The sequence below is a fragment of the Homo sapiens genome, chromosome 19, assembly GCF_000001405.40.
Source record: "Homo sapiens chromosome 19, GRCh38.p14 Primary Assembly".
Taxonomy (NCBI): Eukaryota; Metazoa; Chordata; class Mammalia; order Primates; family Hominidae; genus Homo; species Homo sapiens.
The window spans coordinates 30,024,334-30,051,625 of NC_000019.10; the positions used below are offsets into that span (position 1 = coordinate 30,024,334).

A 27,292-nucleotide genomic window follows, 5' to 3' on the forward strand; every position below is an offset into this window, starting at 1 on the left:
TCAGGTTTAACTTTTTAAGAAATTGCACAGTTTTTCAAAGAGGCTGTATAATTTTATATTCCCATCAGCAATGTTTGAGATTTCCAGTTTCTCCACATCTTTGGCAGCACTGTTACTATTTTGTCTTTTTTATTATAGCCTTTATAGTGGCTGTGGAATATAATAATTGTATTAATTTACATTTCTGTAGCGACTAATGATGTTGAAGGTCTTTTCATGTGCTTTTAGTTCTATTTACATCTTCTTGGAAGTATCTATTCAAATCTTTGGCTCAGTCTTTAATTGGTTGTCTTACTGAGTTATAAGAAGTTCTTTTTAAAAATTTATTTATTTTAATTAGAGACAGGGTCTTGCTCTGTCACCCAGTAGGGTGCAGCGTCATGATCATGGCTCACTGCAGCCTTGACCTCCTGGGCTCAAGTGATCCTCCCACCTCAGCCTCCTGAGAAGCTGGGATTACAGGCACGTGCCACCATGCCCAGCTAATTTTTAAATTTTTTGCAGAGGCAGGGTCTCGCTGTGTTGCCCAGGCTGATCTAGAACTCCTAGCTTCAAGCAGTGCTCCTGCATAGACCTCCCAAAGTGCTGGGATTACAGGTGTGTTTAAGAGTTCTTTATATAGTCTAAATACAAGCCCTTTGTCAAATATATGAATTGCAAATATTTTCTCTAAGTCTGTGGCTTGTCTTTGATTTTTTAAATGTCTTTTGAAGCACAAAATCTTTAGTTTTAATGAAGTCCAATTGATATACCTCAATATATATTATACCTCCATAAAGCTGTTAGATACAAATGAAACCAAAGTACTATAGACACAAATGAAACCAAAGTACTATAAACACTACAATAAAGTGATCATAATAGTACATACTTTTTAAGTGCCAAAACATTTATATATATATATATATATATATATATATATATATATATATATATATATATATTTGTGGTTAGTGTTTTTGGTATCTTATCTAAGAATTCTTTAATCCAGAATAATAAAACTTTTCTCCCATGTTTTCTTCTAGAAGTTTTATACTTCAGCTCTTAAGAGTTAGGGCTATGATCTGTTTTGTGTGTGGGGTGAGTCCAGGGTCTAAATCTGACTTTTTGCACGGATAATTTTAATACCATTTAATAGTTCTAGAGCTGTTGAAAAGACTGTCCTTTTTGCAGTGAATGCTTTAGCATCTTTTTTTGAAAATAGTTGACTATAAGCATAAGGTTGTTTGTGTACTGAGTGCTTGTCTGTCCTTATATCACTTCCAGTGGTCTTAATTACTGTGGCTTTACTTACAACAAACTTTCAAATATGGAACTGTTAAACCCTTCAATTTTGTTCTTTTTCAAAATTTTTTTGGGGTATTCTGAGCCCTTTCCATATCCACATAAATTTTAAGGTCAGCTTACCCACTTCTGCAAAAATGCCTTTTGGGATTTTTACAGGGATTGTGTTAAATCTGTAGATGAATTTGGGGAGAATTGCCATGCTTATATTGAGTCTGCGAATCTGTGAACATGGAATGTTTATTTGTTTATATCTTGATTAGTTTCTCTCAGTGTGTATAAAAGATTACTTTCAAAACATTGTTTTCAGTTTACAAATCTTTCGTTAAATTTATTCCTAAATTTTTAATTCTTTCAGGTGCAGTTGTAAATGGAGTTTTTTCCTTAATGTCATTTTTGAATTGTTCGTTGATAATATATGTATAATTAATTTTTGTATATTGGCTTTGTATCCTGCAACCTTCCTGAGCTCATTTATTAGTTCTTGTCAAGGGGGTGTGTGTGAGAGGGAGAGTGAGTGAGTGTATGTGTGTGATTGTATATTCTTTAATATTTGCTACGTATAGGATTGTGTCATTTGTGAATAGAGAATCTTACTTCTTTCCAATCTTGATTCCTTGTCTTTTTCTTGCCTGATTATATTGGCTAGAGTCTCTAGTAAACCTTGAATAGAAGTGGGTGAGAACACCTATCCTTCCTTGTTCCCAATCTTAGGGAGAAGATATTCAACCTTTCATCAGTAGGTATGATGTTGGCTATAGGTTTTCTGTAGCTGCCTTTTATTAGATTGAGAAAAATTCCTTTTATTCGTAGGTTTGTTGGAGTTTTCTTTCATGAATGGAGTTGAATTTTTCAGACGCTTTTTATGCAGCCCTTGTTCCTTCTTTAGTATAATACATTAATTTTCTGATTAAATTTTCTGATTAAATTAATTTTCTGATTAAACCAATCCTGCATTCCTGGGATAAAGCCCATTTTTAATGTGCGTGATCCTTTTTATATGTTACTGAATTTGGTTTGCTGATGTTTTGTTGAGAATATTTGTGTATATATTCATGAGGGATATTGATCTGTCATGTTCTATTTTTGTGATGTCTTTGTTTGGTTTTTATATAAGGATAATATTGACCTCACAAAATCAGATGGGAAGTATACTCTTCTGGATGAATTTGTGAAGGACTAGTACTATTTCTTCTTTAAATGTTTGATAGAATTCATCAGTGAAACCATTGGGCCTGCAGTTTTCTTTGTGTGAAGATTTGTAATTGCTATTAAAGTTCTTATTTTAAGTCTATTTAAGTTTTATATTTCTTCTTGAGTCCATTTGATAATTTGACTCTTTGTAGGAATTTGTCCATTTCATGTAAATTATTGCATTTGTCATCATAAAGTTGTCCAAAGTATTCCTTTATAATCCATTTAATTTCTTAAGTTGGCAGCAATTTCCTTTTTATTTTACTTTTTTTGTAGAGACAGGGTCTCACTATGTTGTCCAGGCTGGTTTCAAACTCCTAGGCTCAAGTGATCCTCCTGCCTTGGCCTCCCAAAGTGCTGGTATTGCATGTGTGAGGCACCGTGCCTGGCCTGTGATTTCCTTCTGATTTTGCTAATTTTTGTCCTATATTTTTTGTAATTCTAACTATAGGTCTGTCAGTTTTATTGACCTTTTCAGAGAAACTTTTTGATTTTGTTGATTTTCCTCTAGTTTTCTATTCCAGTGACTTTTACTTTAATCTTTATTATTTCCTTTCTTCTTCCTTGCCTTTTATAGTTTTTAAAGGTGTTAATCTATTGATTTGAGACTACTGTCTTCTAATGTAGGTGTTTAAAGATATAAATTGACCTCTAGGCACTAACCCTTAGCTGCATCCAGTGACATTTGATTTGTTTTAATTTTTCTGTAGTTAAAAATATTTTCTAATTTCTCTTGAGATGTCTTTTTTGACTCATGGGTTACTGTAATATGTATTGTTTAATTTCCAAATATTAGTGGGTTTCTCAAGTTTCTTTCTGTTGGTTCCTGCTTTAATTGTGTTGTGTCTGGAGAAAACATTTATTATGTCTTTAGTTTTTAAAAATTCATTAGGACTTTTTAAAAATGGGTAGCATATGTTCTCCTGTGTGTGCTTCAAAAGAATACGTATTCTGTTGTTTTATGGAGTGTTCTGTTGATGTCATGTCAAGGTCATTGTTATTGTTGTCTTCTGTATTCTTGCTGATTTTTTGTCTACTTGTGCTATCCGTTATTGAGAGTGGGATACTGAGGCCTTACACTATTATTGTTAAATAGTCCTACCTTTCAAGTTCTGTTAGTTTTTGTTTCATGCATTTTTTTCTCTGTTGTTAGGTACATATATGTTTGTCATTGTCATATCTTCTGATTAATTGAAGCTTTTATTATTACAAAATGTCCCTTTTTTCTCTAGTAACATTTTAATTTTAAAGCCTATGTCAGTTTTGTCTGATATGATTATGACCACTCCACCTTGGTTATGGTTATGCTTATGTGGTATCTCTTTTTTCATCCTTTTTAGCATTTGTATCTTGTGGGCAGCATGTGGTTGAATTTTGTTTTTAAAAAGTCTATTTTGCCAGCCTGTCTTTTTATTGAAATGTGTGTTAATTCATGTAATTGTTGATATGGCTCATTTACATATCAATAGCTCATGCCATTTTGTTAGTCATTTTTTATATGTCATGTCTTTTTTGTTCCTCTGTTCCTCCTTGGTTACCTTTTTTTGTGTATGTTAAATAAATCTTTTAGTATAAACTTTGAATTCCTTTACAAAAAGAAACTGTACTTTTTTTTTTTTTAAACCCACAAATTTATTTCTTACATTTGTGGAAACTGGGAAGTCAAGGTTAGCAGCTGATTTGGTTCCTGCCGAGGGCTCTCTTCCTGGGCTGCAGATGGCCTCCTGTGTCCTCACATAGTAGAAGAGAGCTTTACTCTTTTTTATGAGTTATTTTATAGTGGTTGCTCTAGAGTTTATAGGATGCATTGTAACATTATAACCTGCGTCAGAATAATACTAACTTAATTCTGGCAGACTTTGCTTCAGCATAGCTCTAGTCTCTTTTTCCTTTGTCCTATTATTGTAATATATTTTATAACAGTACAGGTTTATTATTTATAACTATATGGGTTCATTATTTTTCCATGCAATTATCTTTTAAGTAAGAGAAGAAAACTTAAAAAGAGTATTTTTTCTATTTTTTACATTTGCCTACATAATTACTTTTACTGGTACTTTAATTTTTTATGTGGATTCAAGTTACCATCTGGTGGTGTTTCCTTTCAGCCTGAAGTACTTGCTTTAGCATATCTTGTAAAAAAAATTTTGGTGGCAACAAATTCTCTTTGTCTATCTGGGAAGATCTTTATTTTTGTCCTCTTTTTTGAAGGATAGTTTTACTGGATTTAGAATTCTTGTTTGACAGTAGAGTATGTTATACCACTTAATTCTGGCCTTCATTGTTTCTTTTGAGAAGTCAGCTGCTAATTTTACTGGGGTTCCCCTGTGCATGATAAGTCCATTTTTCTCTTGCTGCTTTCAAGATTTTGATGTGTATCGGTGTGGATATTTTAATGTTTATTCTACTTGGATTTTATTGAGATACTTGGATATACAGATTTATACTTCTTACTAAATTTGGAATGTTTTCAGACATTAAAAACTTCTATGACTCTTCAAAAGATGTCAAAACTTGTATGGCCCTCACTATTCTTTTCTTCTGGGATTCCCATTATGCATATGTTGGTATTGATTGTAACCCACAGATTTCCTACTTGGTTCATTTTTCATTCTCACTTCTGTTCTTCAGATTGTGTAATTTGTATTGATTTATCTTTGAGTTCACTGATTCTTCCTTCTGCATTCAAGTTTGCTGTTGTCCCTCTAATGAAGCTTTCACTTTAGTTACTTTTCAACTCCAGAATTTCCATTTTTTAAAAAATGTTGATCTCTTTATTAAGTGTTCTCTGATTAGTCATTGTTTTCATGCTTTGATTAAACACGGTTTTCTTTTGTTCTTTGAAGATGTATTTTTATTGGCTGCTTTGAAGTCTGTCTGTTAAGTCCAACATTTGGGAACCCTTGGAAATAGCTTCTGTTTATACTGAGTATTTTTTTTTTTATACTAGATAAGCCATACTTTCCTGTTTAAAACTGGACATTTTAAATAATACATTGTAACAGCATTTATTTCTGATACTCTCCTGCCAGGGGTTATTGTCCCTTTTTTTGTTTGTTTTATGACTTGGCCAAGATTAATAATGAGTTTTTCTCTACAGCGTGTGGCCTCTGATGTCTCTCCTCAGTTATGTTTGACTACTTATGGGTCACCTTGGATCAATATATCTTAGTGATCAGCTGGTGACTGGTCAGAGATTGTACTTAGGCATCTTGTTTTGGTAAGACTTTCATCCTTTGTCAAAGTCTCTGTTTTGTTTGAGGAACACACTGAAAATTTATGCAGTTTACGAGTCTTCCCTGGGGGTATGTATATAGTTAGAGCCTTCTCTGGTCTCTCAGCATGTTCATACCCTAATATGCCCATTACCTTTCAAAATGTAAGCTTATCAAGGACTATGATTGTCTCACTTCCTGATTGTTTCTGTTAAATCTCCAGGCAGAAAATTTTTTTCTTCTGATCTCTTTTTTGGCCCAGCTATAGTATTTCAGCTTCAGGTCATCTATGATGTATGTGGACCTCTCCTATGTTTGGCACTGAAATTGCTATATTTAACAAAGCCCCTGGGCGTTGGGTTTTTCCACGTTGTTTCAGATTGAGTCAGCTCCCTACAGTATAAATGCTTCTGGTTTTACAAGCTGTCCCACCCTGTTAGAACTATTGTCTGAAGGAGCTGGGGTGAGGGAGAGTGGTCACAATGCCACATACTGTCATCATTTTTACCCAACTTTCAGTAGTTTTCTTGAATAAACACTTCTCCATTTGTCCTATGTTTTGGTCAATACTCAGAGGTGAAAAGTAGTTGTTTTTGATAATTTTGTCTAATTTTTTTAAAAGTCTGTTTTTTAAGAGCAATTTTAGATTCACAGCAGTACTGAGCAGAAGGTACAGAGATTTTCCATATATCCCATGCTCCCACACCTGCATAGCCTCCCCTATCATCAACATCCCCACCAGAGTGATACATTTGTTACAATAGTTGAATATCCATTGCCACAGTAGTTGAATATCCATTGCCACATCATCACCCGAAGTTGATAGTTTGTATTAGAATTCACTCTTGGTGGACATTCAGTTGCTTTGGATAAATATATAAGAACACATATCCACCATTATAGTTGCTGAGTAGTCTCACTGCCCTAAAAATCCTCTGTGCTGTGCCTATTCATCCGTCCCTATGCCCCAATACCTGGTAATCACTGATTTTTAAAATTGTCTCCATAGTTTTGCTTTCTCTGGGATGTCATGTAGTCGGAATCACATAATGTTTAGCTTTTTAAGATTGGCTTCGTTCTCCTTTGAGTTTCCATAATGTCTTTTCATGGTTTGATAGATCTGAAAATAATATTCCATTGTCGGGATGTACCGCAGTTCATCCATTCACCTACTGAAGGACATCTTGGTTGCTTTCAAGTTTTGGCAAGTACAAGTAAAACTGCTATAAACATCAGTGTGTGGCTTTTTGTGTGGACATACGTTTTCAGCTTCTTTGGGTAAATACCAAGTGGTATGATTGACAGATCATATGGTAAGACTATGTTTTGTAAGAAACTGCCAAACCGTCTTCCAATCTAGCTGTACTATTTTGCATTCCCACCAGCAATGAATGAAAGTTCCTGTTGCTCCACATTCTAGCCAATATTTGGTGGTGTCACTGTTCTGGATTTTGGCTATTCTAATAGGTGTGTAGTGGTAACTCATTGTCATTTTAATTAGCATTTACCTGATAAAACATGATATGGATCATCTTTTCAGATGCTTATTTGCCATCTGTGTGTCTTCTGGTGAGGTGTCTGTTAAGGACTTTGGCCCCTTTTTTAGTCAGGTTGTTTTCTTATTGTGTTCAATTTAATACTTATTTGTGTATTTCAGATAACAATCCTTTGTCAGAAATGCCTTTTGCAAATATTTTCTCCCAGTCTGTGGTTTGTCTTTATATTCTCTTGACAGTGTCTTTCACACAGCAGAAATTTTAATGAAGTCCAGCTTATCAGTTTATTCTTTCATGAATCATGCCTTTGCTGTCATATCTAAAAGGCCATTGCTAAATCCAAAGTCATCTAGATTTTTCTCCTATATTCTAGAGTTTTGTAGTTTTGCATTTTATATTTAGGTCTGTGACCAGTTTTGAGTTAGTTTTTGTGAAGGGTGTATGGTCTGTGTCTAGATTTGTTTTGCATATGATGTCAGGTTGCTCCAGCACTATTTGTTGCAGACTTTCTGCTCCATTCCATTGCCGTTCCTCCTTTGCCAAAGATCAGTTGACTGTATTTATGTAGCTCTGTTTCTGAGCTGTCTGTTTCATTTCATTGACCTGTTTCTCTCTTATCAATACCATACTGTCTCGATTGCTGTAGCTTTGTAGTAAGTCTTGAAGTCTGAAAATGTCAGTTAACTTTGTTCTCCTCCCATATTGTGTTGGGTATTCTGGGTCTTTTACCTCTCCATGTAAACTTTAGAATCAGTTTATTGGTATCTACAAAATAATTTGCTGGGATTATGAATGGGATTGCATTGAATCTATAGATCAAGTTGGAAAGAACTGATATCTTGACAGTTGAATCTTCCTGTCCATGAACATGGAGTACCTCTCCATTGATTTAGTTCTTTGATTTCATTTGTCAGAGTTTTGTATATAAGTCTTGTACATAACTTATTAGATTTAAACCTAAGTATTTCATTTTGAGGGTGCTACTGTAGATGGTATTGTGTTTATAATTTCAAATTCCACTTGTTCACTGCTGGTGTATAGGGAAGTGATTGACCATTGTAACCTTGCTATAATCACTTATAAGTTTCAGGAGGTTTTCTTTTTTGGTTGATTCTTTCCAGTTTTCTACAAAGATGACTGTCATCTATGTACAAAGACAGTTTGGCTTCCTCCTTCCAAATGTGTATACCTTTTATCTCTTTTTCTGTATTATCAAGGACTTGCAATATGAAGTTGAAAAGGAGTGGTGAGAGGGGATATCCTTGCCTTGTTCCTGATTAGTGGGAAGGCTTCAAGTTTCTCACCATTAAGTATGATGTTAGCGTGGGTTTTTGTAGATTTTTAAAAATTAAATTGAGGAACTTCACCCTATTCCTAGTTTACTGTGAGTTTTTATTATTAGCAGGTGTTGGATTTTGCCAAATGCTTTTTCTTCATCTATTGATGTGATCATGTGATTTTTTTCTTCTTTACCTTGTTGATGTGATAGATTACATTGATTTTCAAATGTTGAACCACCCTTGCATACCTAGAATAAATCTCACTTGGTCATGGTGTATAATATAATCCTTTGCATACATTTTTGGATTCAGTTTAATAATATTTTCTTGAGTTTTGCATCTGTGTTTATTAGCAATATTTGTCTGTAGTTTCTTGTAATGTCTTTGCCTGATTTTCATATGGTAATGCTGAACTCATAGAAGTAGGGAGTACTCCCTGTGCTTCTATCATCTGAAAGAGATAGGAGAGAATTGGTGTATTTTTTTTTTTTCCTTAAATGTTTCATAGAATTCATAAGTGTATCTGTCTGGGCCTGCGCTTTGTGTTTTGGAAAGTTATTAATTATTTAATAGAGATAGTCTTATTCCGATTGTCTGTTTCTTCTCGTGTGAGTTTTGGTAGATTGTGCTCTTCAAGGAATTGGTCCATTTTTTCTAGGAGTACCATATTTGTGTGCATAGACGTGTTCATAGTATTTCTTGGTTATCCTTTTAATCTCCCTGGGATCTGTAATGACATTCTCTTTTTTTATTTCTGAAATCAGCAATTTGTGTCCTCTCTCTTTTTTCTTAGTTAGCTTGTCTTACTGATTTTATTTATCTAAGAACCAGCTTTTGGTTTGGTTGATTTTCTCTACTGATTTTATGTTTTCAATTTCATTGATTTCTGCTTTAAATTTTTATTCTTCTCCTTACTTTGGAATTAATTTCCTCTCCTTTTTCTATTCTTATAAGGTGAAGGCTTAGATGATTAATTTTAGATCTCTCTTTTCTGATATATGCATTCAGTGTTAAAAATTTTCCTTTAAGCACTGTTTTCACTGCATCCCACAAATTTTGATAAGTTGTATTTTTTATTTTTGTTCAAAATATTTTAAAATTTCTTTTGAGACTTTCTTTGATCCATGTGTTACTTAGAAGTGTGTTGTTTAATCTCCAAGTATTTGGGAGATTTTCCAGCTATATTTGTTATTGATTTCTAGTTTAATTCAATTGTGATGTGAGAGCAGACACTGTATAATTGCTATTTTAAATTTGTTAAGGTGTGTTTTATGACCCCAAGTGTGATTTGTCTTGGTTAATGTTCCATATTAGCTTGGAAAAAATTATGTATTCTGCTGTTATTGAATGAAGTAGTCTGTAGATAACCATTATATCAAGTTAGTAAATGGTGTTAATGAGTTCAGCTGTGTCCTTAACTGATCTTTTGACTGCTGGATCTGCCCATTTCTGATAGATGGGTACTGAAGTTTCTAGGTATAATAGTGAATTCATCTGTTTCTCCTTCCAGTTCTGTCAGTTTTTTCTTATGTAGTTTGATGCTCTGTTTTTAGATGCATACACATTAAGGATTGCTATGTCTTCTTGGAAAATTGACCCCTATGTAACTGTAGAATGCTCCTTTTTTTTCCTGATAACTTTCCTTAATCTGAAGTCTGCTCTATCTGAAGTGAATATAATGACTCTCACTTTCTTTTGATTAATGTTAGCATGGTATATCTTTCTCCATCCATTTACTTTCAATTTATATGTGTCTTTAAGGTTTTTGTAGACAGTGTATAGTTGGGTCTTATTTTTTGGTTCATTCTGACAATTTATTTGTCTTTTAATTGGTACTTTTAAACCATTGGCATTTAAAATGATTATTGATATCGTTGGATTGACATCTACCATATTTTTACTGTTTTTATATTTGTTGCCCTTGTTCTTTTTCCTGTTTTTGTCTTCCACTCTTTTTCTGCTGTTTGGGTTTTTTTGTTTGTTTCTTTTCTCTTATCGATCCCTTGCCTGTTAAATACCCCTTTTGATTTTAATTGAGCATTTTTTATGATTCCGTTTTCTCTACTTAGCATATCAGTTATACTTTTTAAAAGCATCTTTTTAGTAGTTGCCCTGGAGTTCGGAACATCTACAGCTAATCCAAGTCCACTTTGAAATGATGATACTATACCATTTCATGGGTAATGCAAATGCCTTACAACAATCCTTATTCCTCCTCTCTGCTGTTCCTTGTATTGTTGCTGTTATTTATTTGACTAACACATCAGTATACATAAACATGTATATGTACATAGGTATACAAAATCAAATGCATTGTTGGTACTATTATTTGGAACAAATTGTTATCTGTTAAATAGGTAAGAATAAGAAACTAAGTTTCTGTTTTACGTTTACCTCTTCCTTATGCTCTTTATGAAGATCCGAATTTCTGAACTATATGATTTTCCTTCTATCTAAAGAACTCCTTTAACACTTCTGGAGTGCAGTGCCATGATCATGGCTCATGGCAGTCTGAATTCCTGGACTTCAGCGATCCTCCCACCTTGGCCTCCCAAAGTGCTGGGATTTCGGGTGTAAGCCACTGCACCTGGCCTCTCTCCTTTATTTTCGAAGGCTATTTCTCAGGATATAGAATTCTAGGTTGATAGTTCTTTTCTCTTGGTGCTTTAAATATTTCACTCCACTCTTCTTACTTGCATGCTTTCTAAGAAGTTGGGTATAATTCTTTCTTTTGCTTCTCTATAGGTAATGTGTTTTTTTCCCTCTGGTTTCTTTCAGGATTTTTCTTTATGAATTCTTATAGTTTGAAAATGATGATGCCTAGGTGGAATGTTTATCCTGCTTAGTGTTCTCTGAGCTTCCTGGATCTGTATTTGGTGTCTTATAATAATTTTGGGGAAATTCTTAGTTGTTACTGTTTCTGATATTTCTTCGGTTCCTTTTTTTTTTTCTTCTACTGATTTTCCCATTTTGCATATGCTACCCCCTTTGTAGGTGTCTTGCAGTTCCTGGATATTCTGTTCTGGAGTTTGCAGCCTTTTTTTTTTTTCTCTCTCTCTGTTTCCTTTTCAGTTTGGAGGTTTCTGTTGAGATATCCTCAAGCTCAGAGATTCCTAGCTTTATTCAGTCTGCTAATGAGCCCATCAAAGCATTCTTCATTTCTCCTGCAGTGTTTTTGATCTCTAGCCTTTCTTTTTGGTACTTTTTAGAATTTCCATCTCTCTGCTTACATTGCCCACTTGTGTTTGCATCCATCTAGTTTATTCATTAGAGCCTTTAGTATATTAATCATAGCTGTTTTAAATTCCTGGTCTGATCATGTCAACATCCTTGCTATATCTGTCTTGTTCTGATGCTTGCTCTATCTCTCAAATGACCTTTTTTGCCTTTCAGTATGCCTGGTGATTTTTCCTTAACAGCTGGGCACGTTCCTGAGTAAGAGGAAAGGCTGTAAATAGGCCCTTAGTAATGTGGATTTCTTTAGAGTTCTATAGTCCTGTGATCAGGTCTTAGTCTTTGAGTGAGCCTGTGCCTCTAGACTGTGTACATCACATGTGCTTCTCATTTCCCCCATCAGCCTTACTGAAGACACGATGACTAGAGGGAGCTGGTGTTTGGTATTTCTCTTCTCCCACATGGAAGGCAGGAGCTGCCTGAGGTTATTTCCCTTCCCCTAGGTCAGTTTGGCCCTGATAAAACCCCAGCAGTTTATCTTCCGGTTAAATAGTTTCTCCTGCGGGCAAACCTTGTTAAGAAGAACAGAGTGTTTTGGCATGTTTTTAAATGGTTCCTTTTCCTTTTCCCCTGCTGCAAACACAGGGGGATAGTTCTCAGATACTTGCTTTGAGAACCTGGTAGAGCTCCTGGAGGTAAAACTCACAAAAGTATGTGTGCCGGGGAATGACTGAGTCCCCCTGGAATTTTCAACTCAAGACTTGTCCACACTGTGCAGTTAAGTTAATTACAGTTCAGGTTTCCCTAGCCTGTCAGTTTTCCCTGGAGGCCTCTGTCTGAGGGTCTCGGCTCCAGTTACTTGTGCTTCTCTGCCTTTGCCTGCCGGTCACTCCAATTTCAGGGGCCATGATAGTTTGCCCTGTGGCTTCACTGTTCTTAACTAAGAATTGATTTTTCAGTTTGTTTAGCTGTTTACTTATTAGGATGTAGTGACAACGTCCAAGCTTGTATGCCAGGCCAGAAACTAATAGTCCAACTTTATCTTTGCTTTTTAGGGAAAGTATTTACAAAGGTCCTCACTTTGTCATTCCTCTCAATTACCTTTGAAACTTTTTCTTTAAATGTTAAATTGTCTACCTGTGAATTTACCATGTTGAGTGCTCTTCATTATTTTCTGTACATTGAAGTTGCCACCTGGTTTTCTTTTCCTCCAGCCTGTAGAACTTGCTTTAATCACGTTTTAAATGGTCCTTCCCGTAATGTGAAGGGCGGGTGAGCAAGGCGCTCAGAGCCGTCGTGGGGAGGACCATGTTGCTTCCAAGCATCCTGCTCACCAGTACACCAGGGGTTGGAAAAACCACACTAGGCAAAGGACTTGTGTCAAAATCAGGACTGAAATACATTAATGTGGGTGATTTAGCTCAAGAAGTCTGATCATCGTATATCATGGAGTCTGGCAAGATGGCTTCTCCCAAGAGCATGCCGAAAGATGCACAGATGATGGCACAAATCCTGAAGGATCTGGGAATTACAGAATATGAGCCAAGACTTATAAATCAGATGTTAGAGTTTGCCTTCCGTTATGTGACCACAATTCTAGATGATGCAAAAATTTACTCCAGCCATGCTAAGAAAGCTACCGTTGATGCAGATGATGTGCAGTTGGCAATCCAGTTCCACGCTGACCAGTCTTTTACCTCTCTTCCCCCAAGAGATTTTTTTATTAGATATCGCAAGGCAAAGAAATCAAACCCCTTTTCCATTAATCAAGCCATATTCAGGTCCTAGATTGCCACCTGATAGATATTGCTTAACAGCTCCAAATTATAGGCTGAAATCTTTACAGAAAAAGGCATCAACTTCCACGGGAAGAGTAACAGTCCCGCAGTTAAGTGTTGGTTCAGTTGCTAGCAGACCAAGTACTCCCACACTAGGCACACCAACCCCACAGACCATGTCTGTTTCAACTAAAGTAGGGACTCCCGTGTCCCTCACAGGGCAAAGGTTTACAGTACAGATGCCTACTTCACAGTCTCCAGCTGTAAAATCTTCAATTCCTGCAACATCAGCAGTTCAGAATGTTCTGATTAATCCATCATTAATTGGGTCCAAAAGCTTCTTATTACCACTAATACGGTGTTATCACAAAATACTGCCAATGAATCATCAAATGCATTGAAAAAGCGTGAAGAAGATGATTATGATAATTTGTAATTTAGCCTTGCTGCATGTAACATGTATACTTGGTCTTGAATTCATTGTACTGATACTAAACATGCGTGCTGGATGTTTTCAAGTTGTATTTTAGAAAACTTTCATATTTAATGAGTAAATACAATTACCATACTTTTCAATTGAAATGAAGGTTTTTCATCAGCCTTAAAAGTGTAAGAAAAATCAAGTTGTCATTAATTTGAAAAAAATAATGTTTTAAATGTTGGTGTGCTAGATCAAGTTCTTTCAACTTTTCTCTGAAATAATATTATTTTGCCTTTATATTTGAAAGATATTTTTGCTAGGTATAGAATCCCAAGTTGACAGGTTATTTTCCTCCCTCCCTCCCTCCCTCCCTCCCTTCTCCCCTCCCCTCCGCTCACTCGCTCGCTTTCTTGCTTGCTTGCTTGCTTGCTTGCTTGCTTGCTTTTCTTTCTTTCTTTCTTTCTTTCTTTCTTTCTGTCTCTCTCTCTCTTTCTTTCTTTTGAGACGAGGTCTCGCTCTGTCACTCAAGCTGGAATGCAACAGCATGGATCATAGCTCACTGCAACCCTTGGGCTCAAGCAGTCTTCCTGCCTCAGTCTCCTGAGTACCTGGGACTACAGACACATGTCACCAGGTCCAGCTAATTTTTAAATTTCATGTAGAGACGGGGTCTCACAATGTTGTCTAGGCTGGTCTTGAACACCTGGGCTCAAGTGTTCCATCCTCCTGCCTTGGCCTCCCAAAATGCTGGGATTATAGGCATGAGCCCCACCATGCATGACCTGGTTTTCTTCTCTAGCACTTTGAAGATGTTTTCCCTTGTCTTTTGCACTTCGTGGTGCTGTGTTATCTTTTATTAGTCTTATTTCAGTTCCACTGTAGGTAGTATGCATTTTCCTCTGGCAATCTAATTATGATATGCATAGGTATATTCTTTGTGTTTGGTCTTGTCAGGGCCTGTTGAGTATCTTGGATCTGCAGATTTAGAGTTTTCATCAAATGTGGAAATATTTTGGCCATATTTTTTCCAATTTTGCTTGGGCCCCAATCTCTTTTTCTCCTGTTTCTGGAACACCAATTACATTTATATTGTATAGTTTTTTTTCTTTTTTTTTTTTTGAGAGCGAGTCTCGTTCTGTCACCCAGGCTGGAGTACAGTGGTGAGATCTTGGCTTACTGCAACCTCTGCCCCCAGGATTCTAGCGATTCTCCTGCCTCAGCCTCCCGAGTAGCTGGGATTACAGATGCCTGCCACCATGCCTGGCTAATTTTTTTGTACTTTTAGTAGAGATGGGGTTTTGCCATGTTCGCCAGGCTGGTCTCAAACTCTTGACCTCAGGTGATCTGCCTGCCTTGGCCTCCCAAAGTGCTGGGATTACAGGTGTGAGCCACCATCCCCAGCCTATTATATAGCTTTTATTGTTCCATAAGGTCACCGAGGCTTGGTTCATTTTTGTGTAGTCCTTTTTCTTTCTGTGTTTAATTATGGTTAATTTTTATTGATATATCTTCATGTTCACTAAATTTTTATTTTTATTTTTTTGTAATGTCTGATTTACTCTTGCACACATCCAGTAAATTTTTTGTTTCAGATATTATATTTGAACATGCCTACAGGAATATACCTGTATACCTCTAGGATTTCCATTTTTTAAATAAGATTTTTAATTTCTCTTTATTATGTTAATGATTTTCTTTAAATTTTGAAGCATATTTATAATAGCTGTTTTAAAGTCCTCATCTGCTCATTCTATCATTTCTGTCATTTTTGTGTCTATTCCTACCTGGCTGTGGGTCATAATTTGGATCCTATTTTCATGTTTAGTAATTTTTAATTTGATGCCAGAATTTTTGTTAATCTTTTTATTTTGGAATAAACCTAGATTTACGGAAAAGTTTAAAGATAATGCAGAGAGTTCTCATACGTTCCTCACCCAGTTTTAGTGTCCTCTAATGTGAACACACTACATTACCAAGGTACATGTGTCAGAACTAAGAAATTAGCACAAGGCAATACTATTTACTAAAGTATAGACTTTATTGAAATGTTACTAGTTTTTCTACCAATGTTCTTTTTCTTTTCCAGGATTCATTCCAAGATACCTGTTGTATTTTGTGGTCATGTCTTCTTAGTCTCATCCTATCTGACAATTTCTCAATTTTTTCTTTTTCATGACCTTGTACTTTTGAAGAGTATTGGCCTGTGGGTGTTTTACAGAATATTCCTCAATTTGAGTTTGCCCAGTGTTTTCTTACAATTAGCCTGAGGTTGTGAGTTTTCAAGAGAATACCATAGATGTGAGGTGTCTTTCTCTGCACATAATATCACTGCGTTAATCTTGATTACTTTGTTGAGTTGGTACCTGTTTGGTTTCTCCACTATAAGACCAGTCTTATTTTGCTTGGATTCCTTCTCTCTGTGCTGTGGTCCAACAAACCTCTCAAGACAAAGAGTGATTATAGGACTTACCTCATTTACTTAGGAATCTTAGTCTTATATTTCTTGGTCCTAGTGTCTGAAAACACTTGTTTTCAGTTTTCTAGCTGTTTATGGCAGAAGAGCAAATTCTGTAGCCCTGAATCCTTCAACACTAGAGTCAGAAGTCCTTGGCAGGACCTCTTCTTGAGTTCCTTGCTTGCAGTTTCTCAGTTAATTTCATAGCTTGCAGTTCCTCTGATCTTGACCTACATGAAGGCCAACTCACAGCTAGCATTCCCAAGGGAGACTTGATATGGTTTGGCTCTGTGTCCCCACCTAAATCTCATCTTGAATTGTACTCCCATAATTCCCACGTGTTGAGGGAGGGACCTGGTGGGAGATAATTTGAATCATGGGGACTGTTTCCCCCATACTGTTTTGTGGTAGTGTGTCTCATGAGATCTGATGGTTTTATCAGGGGTTTCCACTTTTGCTTCTTCCTCATTTTCTCTTGCCGCCACCATGTAAGAAGTGCCTTTTGGCCGGGTGCATTGGCTCACACCTGTAATCCCAGCACTTTGGGAGGCTGAGGTGGGCAGATCACAAGGTCAGGAGTTCAAGACCAGCCTGGCCAACATGGTGAAACCCTGTCTCTACGAAAAATATAAAAACTAGCTGGGCAGGGTGGTGCATTCCTGCAATCCCAGCTACTCAGGAGGCTGAGGCAGGAGAATTGCTTGAACCAGGACCCAGGAGGTGGAGGTTGCAGTGAGCTGAGATCACACCACTGCATTCCAGCCTGTGCTACAGAGCAAGACTCTGTCTCAAAAAAAAAAAGCCTTTCACCTCCTGCCATGATTCTGAGGTCTCCCCAGCCATGTGGAACTGTAAGTCAAATTAAACCTCTTTTTTCTTCCCAGTCTTGGGTATGTCATTATTAGCAGTGTAAAAATGGACTGATACAGTAAATTGGTACCAGTAGAGTGGAGTGTTGCTGAAAAGATACCCAAAAATGTGGAGGCAACTTTGGAACTGGGTAACAGGCAGAGTTTGGAGGGCTCAGAAGAAGACAGGAAAATGTGGGAAGGTTTGGAACTTCCTAGAGAATTGTTGAATGGCTTTGACAAAAATACTGATAAAGGTGTGGACAATGAAATCCAGGCTGACGTGGTCTCAGATGGAGATGAAGAACTTGGGAACTGGAGCAAAGGCGACTCTTGTTATGTTTTAGTGTAAGAGTCTGGTGGCATTTTGCCCCTGCCCTAGAGATTTGTGGAACTTTGACTTCAGAGAGATGATTTAGCGTATCTGGCAGAAGAAATTTCTAGGCAGAAAAGCATTCAAGAGGTGACTTGGCTGCCATTAAAGGCATTCAGTTTTAAAAGGGAAGCAGAGCATAAAAGTTTGGAAAATTTGCAGCCTGACAATGCGATAGAAAAGAAAATCCCATTTTCTGAGGAGAAATTCGAGCCGACTGCAGATATTTGCATAAGTAACAAGGAGTTGAATGTTAATCCCCAAGACAATGGGGAAAATGTCTCCAGGTCATGTTAGAGAACTTTGTGGCAGCCTCTTCCATCACAGATCCGGAGGTCTAGGAGGAAAAATGGTTTTGTGGAGAGGACCTAGAGTCCCCGTGCTATGTGCAGTCTAGGGACTTGGTGTCCTGTGTCCTAGCTGCTCCAGCTGTGGCTGAAAGGGGCCAACATAGTGCTTAGGCCGTGGCTTCAGAGAGTGCAAGCCCCAAGACTTGGAAGCTTCCATGTGGTGGTGAGCTTGCAGGTGCACAGAAGTCAAGAACTGGGGTTTTGGAACCTCTGCCTAGATTTCAGAAGATGTATGGAAATGCCTGGATGCCCAGGCAGAAGTTTGCTGCAGGGGTGGGGCTCTTATGCAATGCAGAAGGGAACTGTGGGATGGGAGCCCCCACAAAGAGTCCCTACTGGGGCACTGCCTAGTGGAGCTGGGAGAAGAGGGCCACCATCCTCCAGACCCCGGAATGGTAGATCCACCTATAGCCTGCACTGTGAGCCTGGAAAAGCTGCAGACACTCAATGCCAGCCTGTGAAAGCAGCCAGAAGGGAGGCTGTACCCTGCAAAGTCACAGGGGTGGAGCTGCTCAAGACCATGGGAACCCACCTCTTGGCATCAGTGTGGCCTGGATGTGACACATGAAGTCAAAGGAGATCATTTTGAAACTTTAAAATTTGATTGCCCCACTAGATTTTGGACTTGCATGGGTCCCGTAACCCCTTTGTTTTGGCCAATTTCTTTCATTTGGAACAGCTGTATTTACCCAATACTTGTACCCCCGTTGTATCTAGGAAGTACCTAGCTTGCTTTTGATTTTATAGGCTCATAGGCAGAAGGGGACTTGCCTTGTCTCAGATGAGACTTTGGACTGTGGATTTTGGGTTAATGCTGAAATGAGTTAAGACTTTGGTGGACTGTTGGGAAGGCATGGTTGGTTTTGAAATGTGAGGACTTGACATTTGGAGGGGCCAGGGGCAGAATGATATGGTTTGGCTCTGTGTCCCCACCTTAATCTCATCTTGAATTGTATTTCCATAACTCCCACATGTTGTGGGAGGGACCTGGTGGGATTGAATCATGGGGACTGTTTCCCCCAGACTGTTCTTGTGGTAGTGAGTGTAAGTCTCATGAGATCTGATGGTTTTATCAGGGGTTTCCACTTTTGCTTCTTCCTCATTTTCTCTTGCTGCTGCCATGTAAGAAGTGCCTTTTGCCTCCTACCATGATTCTGAGGCCATCCCAGCCATGTGGAACTGTAAGTCCAATTAAATCCCTTTCTTCCTAGTCTCAGGTATGTCTTTATCAGCAGCGTGAAAACAGACTAATACAAGACTCCACCCTTATCTAGAGCTCAGGCAGATAGGAACAAGTTTCCTTGCTGTGGTTCGTGTTTTTGACAGTGGGAACATTTGTTCTAGTCCAGCCGTTCACTCTGGCATTCTGGCAGCCTTTCCGGGGTCTGGTCTTCATGTATGATCTTAGTTCTACCATCTTGTTCGAGCTCAAGGACTTGCCGCTTATTTCCTGGTGCTTTTAAAACATAAATTTCTTGGCTAGGTCCCAGGACAGCTCTAACTTGATGCCAGTGGTTTTAGCTTTTTCTTTTCCTTCATTTTTAGCCACTGGTGATTTCTGTTACTTTCATGCAAGTAAGGCTCTGTATTTGAGAAGATATTTATTACATTTTATCCAGCATTTATAGCAGGAGAGTTGGTGGAGTACACTGTCTGTAGTGTTCCTAAGCAATTCCTTGGTCTGCTGTTCTGCTTTATAATGGCTTGAAACAGAACACTTAAGGCCAGCTTCAGTTTGTCCCATTGAAACTTTCATATAAAAAAGAAAGCTGTAATTTTAAGTTACAATTTATTTTTATTTTTATTTTTTTGGAGACGAAGTCTCACTCTGTTGCCCATGCTGGAGTGTAATGGCGCGATCTTGGCTCACTGCCGACCTCTGCCTCCCGGGTTCAAGTGATTCTTCTGCCTCAGCCTCCCGAGTAGTAGCTGGGATTACAGGCGTGCGCCATCATGCTTGGCTAAGTTTTGTATTTTTAGTAGAGACGGGGTTTCACCATGTTGGTCAGGCTGGTCTTGAACTCCTGACCTTAGGTGATCCACCCGCCTTGGCCTCCCAGAGTGCTGGGATTACAGGCATGAGCCACTGTGCCTGGCCTTAAGTTACAATTGAAAACTGTAAGGTACTGTGCTAAGAAGGCCTTCAAGTAACTGATCTTCATTGGGAAGGCAGGTTAAGTGTATAGGTCGAAGGAGAATACCAGAAGTGTTCCAGGAGCTGTACACTGAGAGTTATAACTTGGGAGTCATAGTATCTTCTTTGAGGTAAGAAAACTGGCAACTGCTTCACGTCAGAGGAGGTACTCTAGGTAGGGTTAAGGATCAAGTGGATTTCTAGGATGGAAAAAATTTGAGTGTTGGGGACAGAGATGATGAAATTGAAACCTACACGGGTTTTATTTATGCCGTGTTCGAGTAATAAGAACTCAGAGCCTATTATCAGTAAAATGTATTTTTGGAGATTACAGATATTTTCTTGGGCTCCAAGATTTTCTTGGTAATGTCTATTTGGGATCTTGGAAGCTAAACTGAGGGTAAGAATGGACTGTCAGTGATGATTTGTTGGTGAATCGTATTTGCAAAGAGGGAATGGTTCAGTCTGATAAGAATTGCAATAAAGACAAAAATGTTGTGGCTTAGGGCAGACTTGGCTATTCTAAGATACAGAGCGGTGTCTAGGCTAGATCCACCTGTAGTCACAAAGACGTAAGTTTAATTTTTTTACAGTTACTGGAAATCTTTCAAGGAGCACTTGTTAGGAGCTAATTGAGGTGCAACCAAAGAGCAGCACTCAGAACCTCTTCAGAAAAGTGAAGTTTGCAAATACTTGCTTGAAACTTGAATGTGCTTAAGAGCACGGAGCCGAATGTGACCTGTGCAGGTTTTCCACACGGCCAGGACTCAGACCTGTGTGTGTCTTCTGTGCGGTTGTTGCACACTCCAAATCTGGTCTGTGTGGGTTCCTTAATAAGAAAGTCGCTGTAGGAAAAGCTGTCCATGTTGGAACTATGCAAAAATCTCTGAGAATTGGAAAGTTTTCTGGAAATCTATTGATTTTTTTGAAAAGTAAGGAGGTCAGTTTCCAATAACGATGAAAGGGAAGAAAACCCAACCAATGAATCTATGATTACTACCACAGTGGGTGTTTAAAACAGAAATATTTTTGGAACATGACATTTTATGTTGCAATGGAATCAACTGATGAGGGCTTGGGATGGGGGATTCCCTGATGGTTAATATCAGATTGACTAGGGACATTCTTCCACGCCAGCCAATCTCAGGAACACGGGAAGACGTGAGGGCTCCACAGGGTTAAGTGTGGACTGCCCATGGAAGAGCTGAGGGTTTCCCTATAATTATTCTTCATACTCTTCATCTTGGTGATCATTAACTTGGCATCAGCACCCTTTGGGGGCTATTTGTCCATTTTCAGCTGTTTCCTCTTGAACTATAAAGGCTCTCTCAACTTTGAAATGTACTGACCAGGCCACACTAGTAAGTTGTGGAGCCTGAATATATGGCAGCTGATGAATACAATGATGATGGTAGACATAGCCTTCCTTACGACGGGAGCCGCGGAAACCATCAGTCAGTCGACACCTTTCTGGTAACCTGGGCGTGGTTCATTACCCAGGTGGCATTCTCTTGCTTTGGAAATTTAAAAAATGGCAGATTTCTGTGTCCTAATAGTGGCAAATGCAGCTGTTTTTGTTGTTCATTTTAGCAAACTAATGACTTCTGCAAAAAGACGAACCAAGATTAAAAGAAATCAGATGTGTGTATTTGGTATGCAATATTTTTGTATTACAAATAGCTACATTCTAACCCACATTAACCCCATGATATGTGAATTTTGCCAACTCCTGCTATGTCTTTTAAATCAAATCCGGTAAATCACTATGAATGTTCTAATTTCTAAACAAACTAGTCTTCCAGTAGAAGTGCTTTAACACTGTACTGCAAATTAGACAACCTAAGATAAATGGACCATCTTTGTTAATTGTGTAGTTTAATTGATCAAAACTACCAGATAGGATTTTTATAGTGATTTTGCTTAGTATCAAATTCTATACTATTAAATAGCTTGTGAGTCATATATTTGGGGTCATTAAGATATATGCTGTTATTTAGCGTCTGTTAACCTTATTAAGCACCTTCTTTTTGGTCTAGTTCATGTCACAATATGAAATTGCTTTTAATTGAGATGACCAACTTCCATTACATTGTTCAACCCCTGTACAAAGCACTTTTCATTTTTGCTCTATTGATCGAGCAGCAATTGACTTGAACTATATTCAGAACCTGGTGGGGGAAGATGGGAGAAGATTTCTTGAAATGTTCTTTTTGCTGGTGGTTTTTTTCTCTGCATACCCCGCTGTTTGCTTGTAACTAATTTTGCATGCCAGTAGGTAGCAGTGGTGAGCAGAGGCACAGACAGAAAGCTGCCAGTCAGCGATTATAAATTATTATTCATTTCTGTTATAGGTGGGGTGTGCAGTCAGTTACAGTAATAATTACCAGGACTAGAGGGTTTCCTAGGCAACCAATTTCCCCCCTCATTCATGCTGTTGCTGAGAGAGTTCCTGTAAAGCATGACATTGCTGTATTCTGAGGTTTGTTGCCCCCCTGCTGCTCCAGGTTTGAGGTTAGTTACAGCATCATAAGACGCTCTCAAGCATAGAGAACTCAGGCTGGGCTTAAAAAGCATGCCGGCAGCAGGGCCTCTCCGCTGCTGCTTCACTTTTAAGGGACAGGGTTCCAAAAATGCAAATCCTGCATCTTGCTTGGTAACAGGAAGATCTCTTTAAGTTGCAGAACCTTTTATTTTTTATTATTTTGAAGATAGTGGATCATTTCATTTTTATAGTTTTATTATTTGATAAAAACGTGCAGAGACAGACCTAAAACTAGACTTCTCCTTAGGATTTGAGTCTAATAAATCAGTGGGGAACTGTCACAGCTAATCATGGTTGTGTTTGTTGTTTATTCAGTTTTATGAAAATGGCTCATGAAGAGAAAGGCAGCACTCTTCCTGCAGCAGCAGAATTAGTCCTTTATGTAGTAGGAAAATAATGGAAACCACATCTATTATCCGGGATCTATACATGAATCATATTATCCTATATTTGGGGGCTCTCCAATCTTTCATTTTAATGAACTTAACATCAAGTGCTTTGCAGTGATAAAAAAGTAGTATTTGTTTGTGTCTGCTGTGAAAAAAGATAGGGGTTCATGTTTCAGTCTTACGTGGAGATGTGAAATGTTTATCCATTTACAAGGCAGAAGTCACAAACCCAGACACAAGGCATCCGATCTCGTCCTCTGCTAGATGATTACAGACATGTTCAGTGCCTCACATTGGACCTGTGTATTTATCACCGCAAGTTCTCAGCAGGATGTAAGTTGTCTTCGTCAGTGTTCTTGGTGGGGACACCACCAGCGCTAGGCATGACCGATGAGTTCCTTGTCTGTGAACCATGACTGGGCTCTTGGACTTCTGGAGCTGCTTATACTTCCTGCAGGTGCCTGCTGTGTATTCAAGGGTGTGGTGGGGAACCTGCAGTCAAGTTCCAGGAGCAGCGAGGCTGCATGCAGGCTGGCTTGGTCCTGCAAGAGGCCACTGCTAACAACTCTATGCCTTTAGCCTTCCCTGGGTTTCTGGAGGAAAGCTGCCTTCTGCCCTGGACCCAGCTCCATCCTGCTCCGGAAGTGGCCCTAGGGTCCAGCTGTGCTGGGCAGTGAGACCTGCCAGTCACCATTTGTCCAAAACGTCTCACTGAGAATTGGCTTCCCACTTGAGAAAATCTTGAGGTCTAGGCCAGGCGCGGTGGCTCATGCCTGTAATCCCAGCACTTTGGGAGGCCGAGGTGTTTGGGTTACTTGAGGTCAGGAGTTCAAGACCAGCCTGGCCAATATGGTGAAACCCCGTCTCTACTAAAAATACAAAAATTTAGCCGGGTGTGGTGGCGGGTGCCTGTAATCCCAGCTACTAGGGAGGCTGAGGCAGGAGAATTGCTTGAGCCTGGGAGGCAGAGTTTGTAGTGAGCTGAGATCGGGCCACTGCACTCCAGCCTGGGTGACAGAGTGAGACTCTGTCTCAAAAAACAAAACAAAACAAAAAAAGGAAATCTTGAGGTCCAGTTTCTTGAAAACATCTCAAAGGTACTAAACATAAGTGCTCAGTCACCCTGTTAGATGTGGGCTTATGGAGTGATTCATAAAAATGAAATATGGACTATGTTTTTGATATAGATACTGTAAAATGTAATTGGCTACATGAATCCATCAGGCTGGGTTCATCTGTAGTTTAGGTTTACTTTAAATTGCTTAATAATCTTTTTAAAAGTATTTATAAGCCAGAACTATGAGACTAGCACCTGCCAGCCCAAACAGTATTATCAGGGAATCCCAGTTTTTTTTTTTTTCCCCCTGAATCGTTTAACAGCCTAAGTAGTAGAGTGTCTCTTGAAACGTAGCAGTCTGCTATACTTCAGGTGGGGACTTCCACACAATTTAGCAAAGAAAATAATTTTTAAAAATGTTCCTATTGCATACTACTCTGTGGCATAAATTATTTAAATGCAGTGCTTAGCCAAACTAATGTTACAGATTAGATGATGAACTGATAACGTCATATACAGTAAGTTAAAGACATGCAATGAAGTCGTTATTTACTTATGGACAACTACCCTTGCAAAACAAAGTCAGGAAAAGTGGGTGATGTTCAAATGAGGCCATTTGAACTGTAGCTTCAAAATAATCCCCTTTAATTTCATTCTCTGCATCTCTAAATTCTGGAGAAAGAAGGAATGTCTTCATCATCAGAAGGACCAGTCTCCTGTTTATAAAATGATAAAGAAAGTTGGGCAGCTCCTCCATCATAAGCTTGCTCTTCTGGTTTTTTTTTTTTTCCTTTAAATAATTGAACTGTTACAGGAAACATTGTTAAAATCTTAAGGTTAGGGCATGCTTTCATTTTTTTTTGTCTAAAGATTACTCTGCACCCTAGACAAAGGAAATATTTAAACTGTTAAATTTGAACAAAGATACAGTCTGCATATGACTTCTCTGAAGCCCTATAAAAATTCTTTAAAATTGCCTATTCACTCAAATTTACTGAGTGTAGCAAAAATGTCAAAGGCATAAAGTCAGAGAAGATTGAATAAAATAATGCAGAAAGACAGATTAGTCATGCACAGACCCACACAGCCTTTCAGAGCACACAATACCGCTCTTTATTACCGTTCTATCTTTACAAAGACTACGTTCAATACATAGAAGATGATACATGGCCAGCCATGTCATCTGCCTGTGATTCCAGAACTCATCTATCTGGGCCCTTTTCACAATGACATTGATGAGAGATCGCAGTGTTTTCAGAGCATTGTTTTATTTATCATATATAATGGCTGGTGAAAGAAATAGGAATTATGTCACCGATAGCACATAAAAGAGTTGCATAGAAGATTCTGTGACAAAGTTTGGTAAAACCCAGAACAAGGAAGCTCATGGAAATGTTCTTTTCTCTGTCTTCCCCCACTGCTGTGTCTTCTCCCCCTCCGTTCAAGTCCTCCAAAGATTTGCACGCTGATAACTGTTGAAAAATATCAAGAAAATGTTTCATCAAGCCAAACGTCGGGGACCCTGATCCTTTGTTAAAAAAAAAAAACTCTTTGGCGATTACATTTTTGTTTAAATGTGGAGCACATTTCAATGACGGTAGAGTTGCCGGCCGTTATTTACGCATCTGCTAAGGGAAAGGAGACTATTTGTCAGTCACAGTTTTGTATCTTGCAAATTTAATAAAGAGCCGCCCTTAAGATAGAATTTCTTAGGCTGCCACAATTGACAAAAGCCAGCTAATGTTGAAATGTCAACAGCAAACCTCATCAGCAGGCCTCACTGCCGTGCAATCAAGACAGCGCCATAGCTCCATATAAACAAATGTATATAATGTGCCTGTGTTGGGGGTGGGGGTAGGGAAACTGGGGATTTCAGTGCTGTGGGGACACACAGCACAGGCTTAAAACAGTCCCTTCGACAGCCTTTAAATGTTAAGGAATCAGTGCTGTGTATATTACCCAGAGAGTCTCAGGGAGCGTGGACTCAAATGTGACTGGCAGCTGCCTTACAAAAGGTTATCTTGCCTGTGCTCCTTGGGAGGACTGTCAATCCCATGCCCATGGGGGAATTTCTCTTCCTTCCTTCCTTCCTTTCTTTTCTTTCCTCCTTTCTTTTTCCTTCCTTCCTCCCTCCTTTCCTTCCTTCTTTCCTTCTTTCTTCCCTTCCTTCCCTTCCTTCCTTCCTTCCTCCTTTCTTCTTTCCTTCCCTTCCTCCCTCCCTCCTTCCCTCCCTCGATCCCTCCCTCCCTTTCTTTCTTTTTTGGAGACAGAGTCTCCTTATGTTGTTCAGGCTGGAGCACAGTGGCACGATCACGGCTTACTGCAGCCTCAAACTCCTGGGCTCAGGTGATCCTCTGGCCTCAGACTCCTGAGTAGCTGGGACCACAGGTGCACGCCACCACATCAGGCTAACTTTTTTTTTTTAATCTTTTGGTAGAAATGGGATCACACTGTGTTGCTGGCCTCAGACTCCTGGGCTTAACCAATTCTCCTGCCTCAGCCTCCCAAAGTGCTGGGATCATGGGGGAAATTTCTTTAACTTCCTGTGCTTTTGGTGGTGTCCAAGAGAAAGCTAAAGAACAATTTTGGGGAGTTTCATGTTTTGGAGCCATGAACCAGCCATTGCACTGAACTTGAAAGTTTTTCCTCAGAACCCTGATCTGGGTGTTCATCCACAGCCATCTCCTGCTTTGCTGAGCTGTTTCCTTGTTTGCAGAAATCAGCACAGAACCACGCAGAAGGCAGTGTGGCTGCGGTGCAATGCTGCATTTGGAAGTGAGTAAATGGAAGATGAGACGTGCCTGCCTTCACTGTGGGGGGAGGATGAGTTTCCCTTGTCCCTGAGGAAGATTGGCTTTGGTCCTGTGTTCTCCATGGAGAGATCTTGCCTTTTCCTATCCCATCACTATTTCCTTTATAGATGGTGGGCTGAAGACCCAGAAGACCTGCAAGTGAATGGAGGCTCGGATCCAAAAGCTACCCCGAGACCCCAGGGTCTTCACTCCTTTATGGCAGTGTGAGTGGGGCAGACAGGGAAGCTAAGGACTCCCTGCTTAGGTGGATGGATTCGAGGGATGGAGAGGCTCAGAACTGAGGCCCCTGTGTTTGTGCTGGCCACAGCTCTCCTTTCCTCCCAGCTCATTGCAACCTCAGAAGGCCTGTCGAGTGCCTGTCAGCCTCCTCCTCCTCCTTTCCTTCCCCCTCCTCCTTTTCTGTTTCCTCTTCCTCCTCTTTTTCTACTTCTCCTCTTTCTTCTTCTCCTGCTTCTTTTTCATTGTCTTCTTTCAGCTGCTGCTTGACCA

General features: G+C 38.9%; 1 pseudogene, besides 3 other annotated features; it reads left to right on the top strand.

Moving 5' to 3' along the window:
* Nucleotides 5,970–6,019: an enhancer, noted in NCBI's record as "active region_14425". NCBI's record gives its function as "activates an Ori minimal core promoter by ATAC-STARR-seq in GM12878 lymphoblastoid cells {active_cell/tissue: GM12878}" and the evidence as "EXISTENCE:reporter gene assay evidence [ECO:0000049][PMID:35858748]".
* Nucleotides 6,085–6,584: an enhancer, noted in NCBI's record as "H3K4me1 hESC enhancer chr19:30521325-30521824 (GRCh37/hg19 assembly coordinates)". NCBI's record gives its function as "activates a minimal SCP1, AML or CMV promoter by ChIP-STARR-seq in naive H9 embryonic stem cells {active_cell/tissue: H9 hESC(naive)}" and the evidence as "EXISTENCE:reporter gene assay evidence [ECO:0000049][PMID:30033119]".
* TAF9P3 (TATA-box binding protein associated factor 9 pseudogene 3) lies at nucleotides 12,923–14,060 on the top strand (annotated as a pseudogene).
* Nucleotides 22,192–22,271: an enhancer, noted in NCBI's record as "active region_14426". NCBI's record gives its function as "activates an Ori minimal core promoter by ATAC-STARR-seq in GM12878 lymphoblastoid cells {active_cell/tissue: GM12878}" and the evidence as "EXISTENCE:reporter gene assay evidence [ECO:0000049][PMID:35858748]".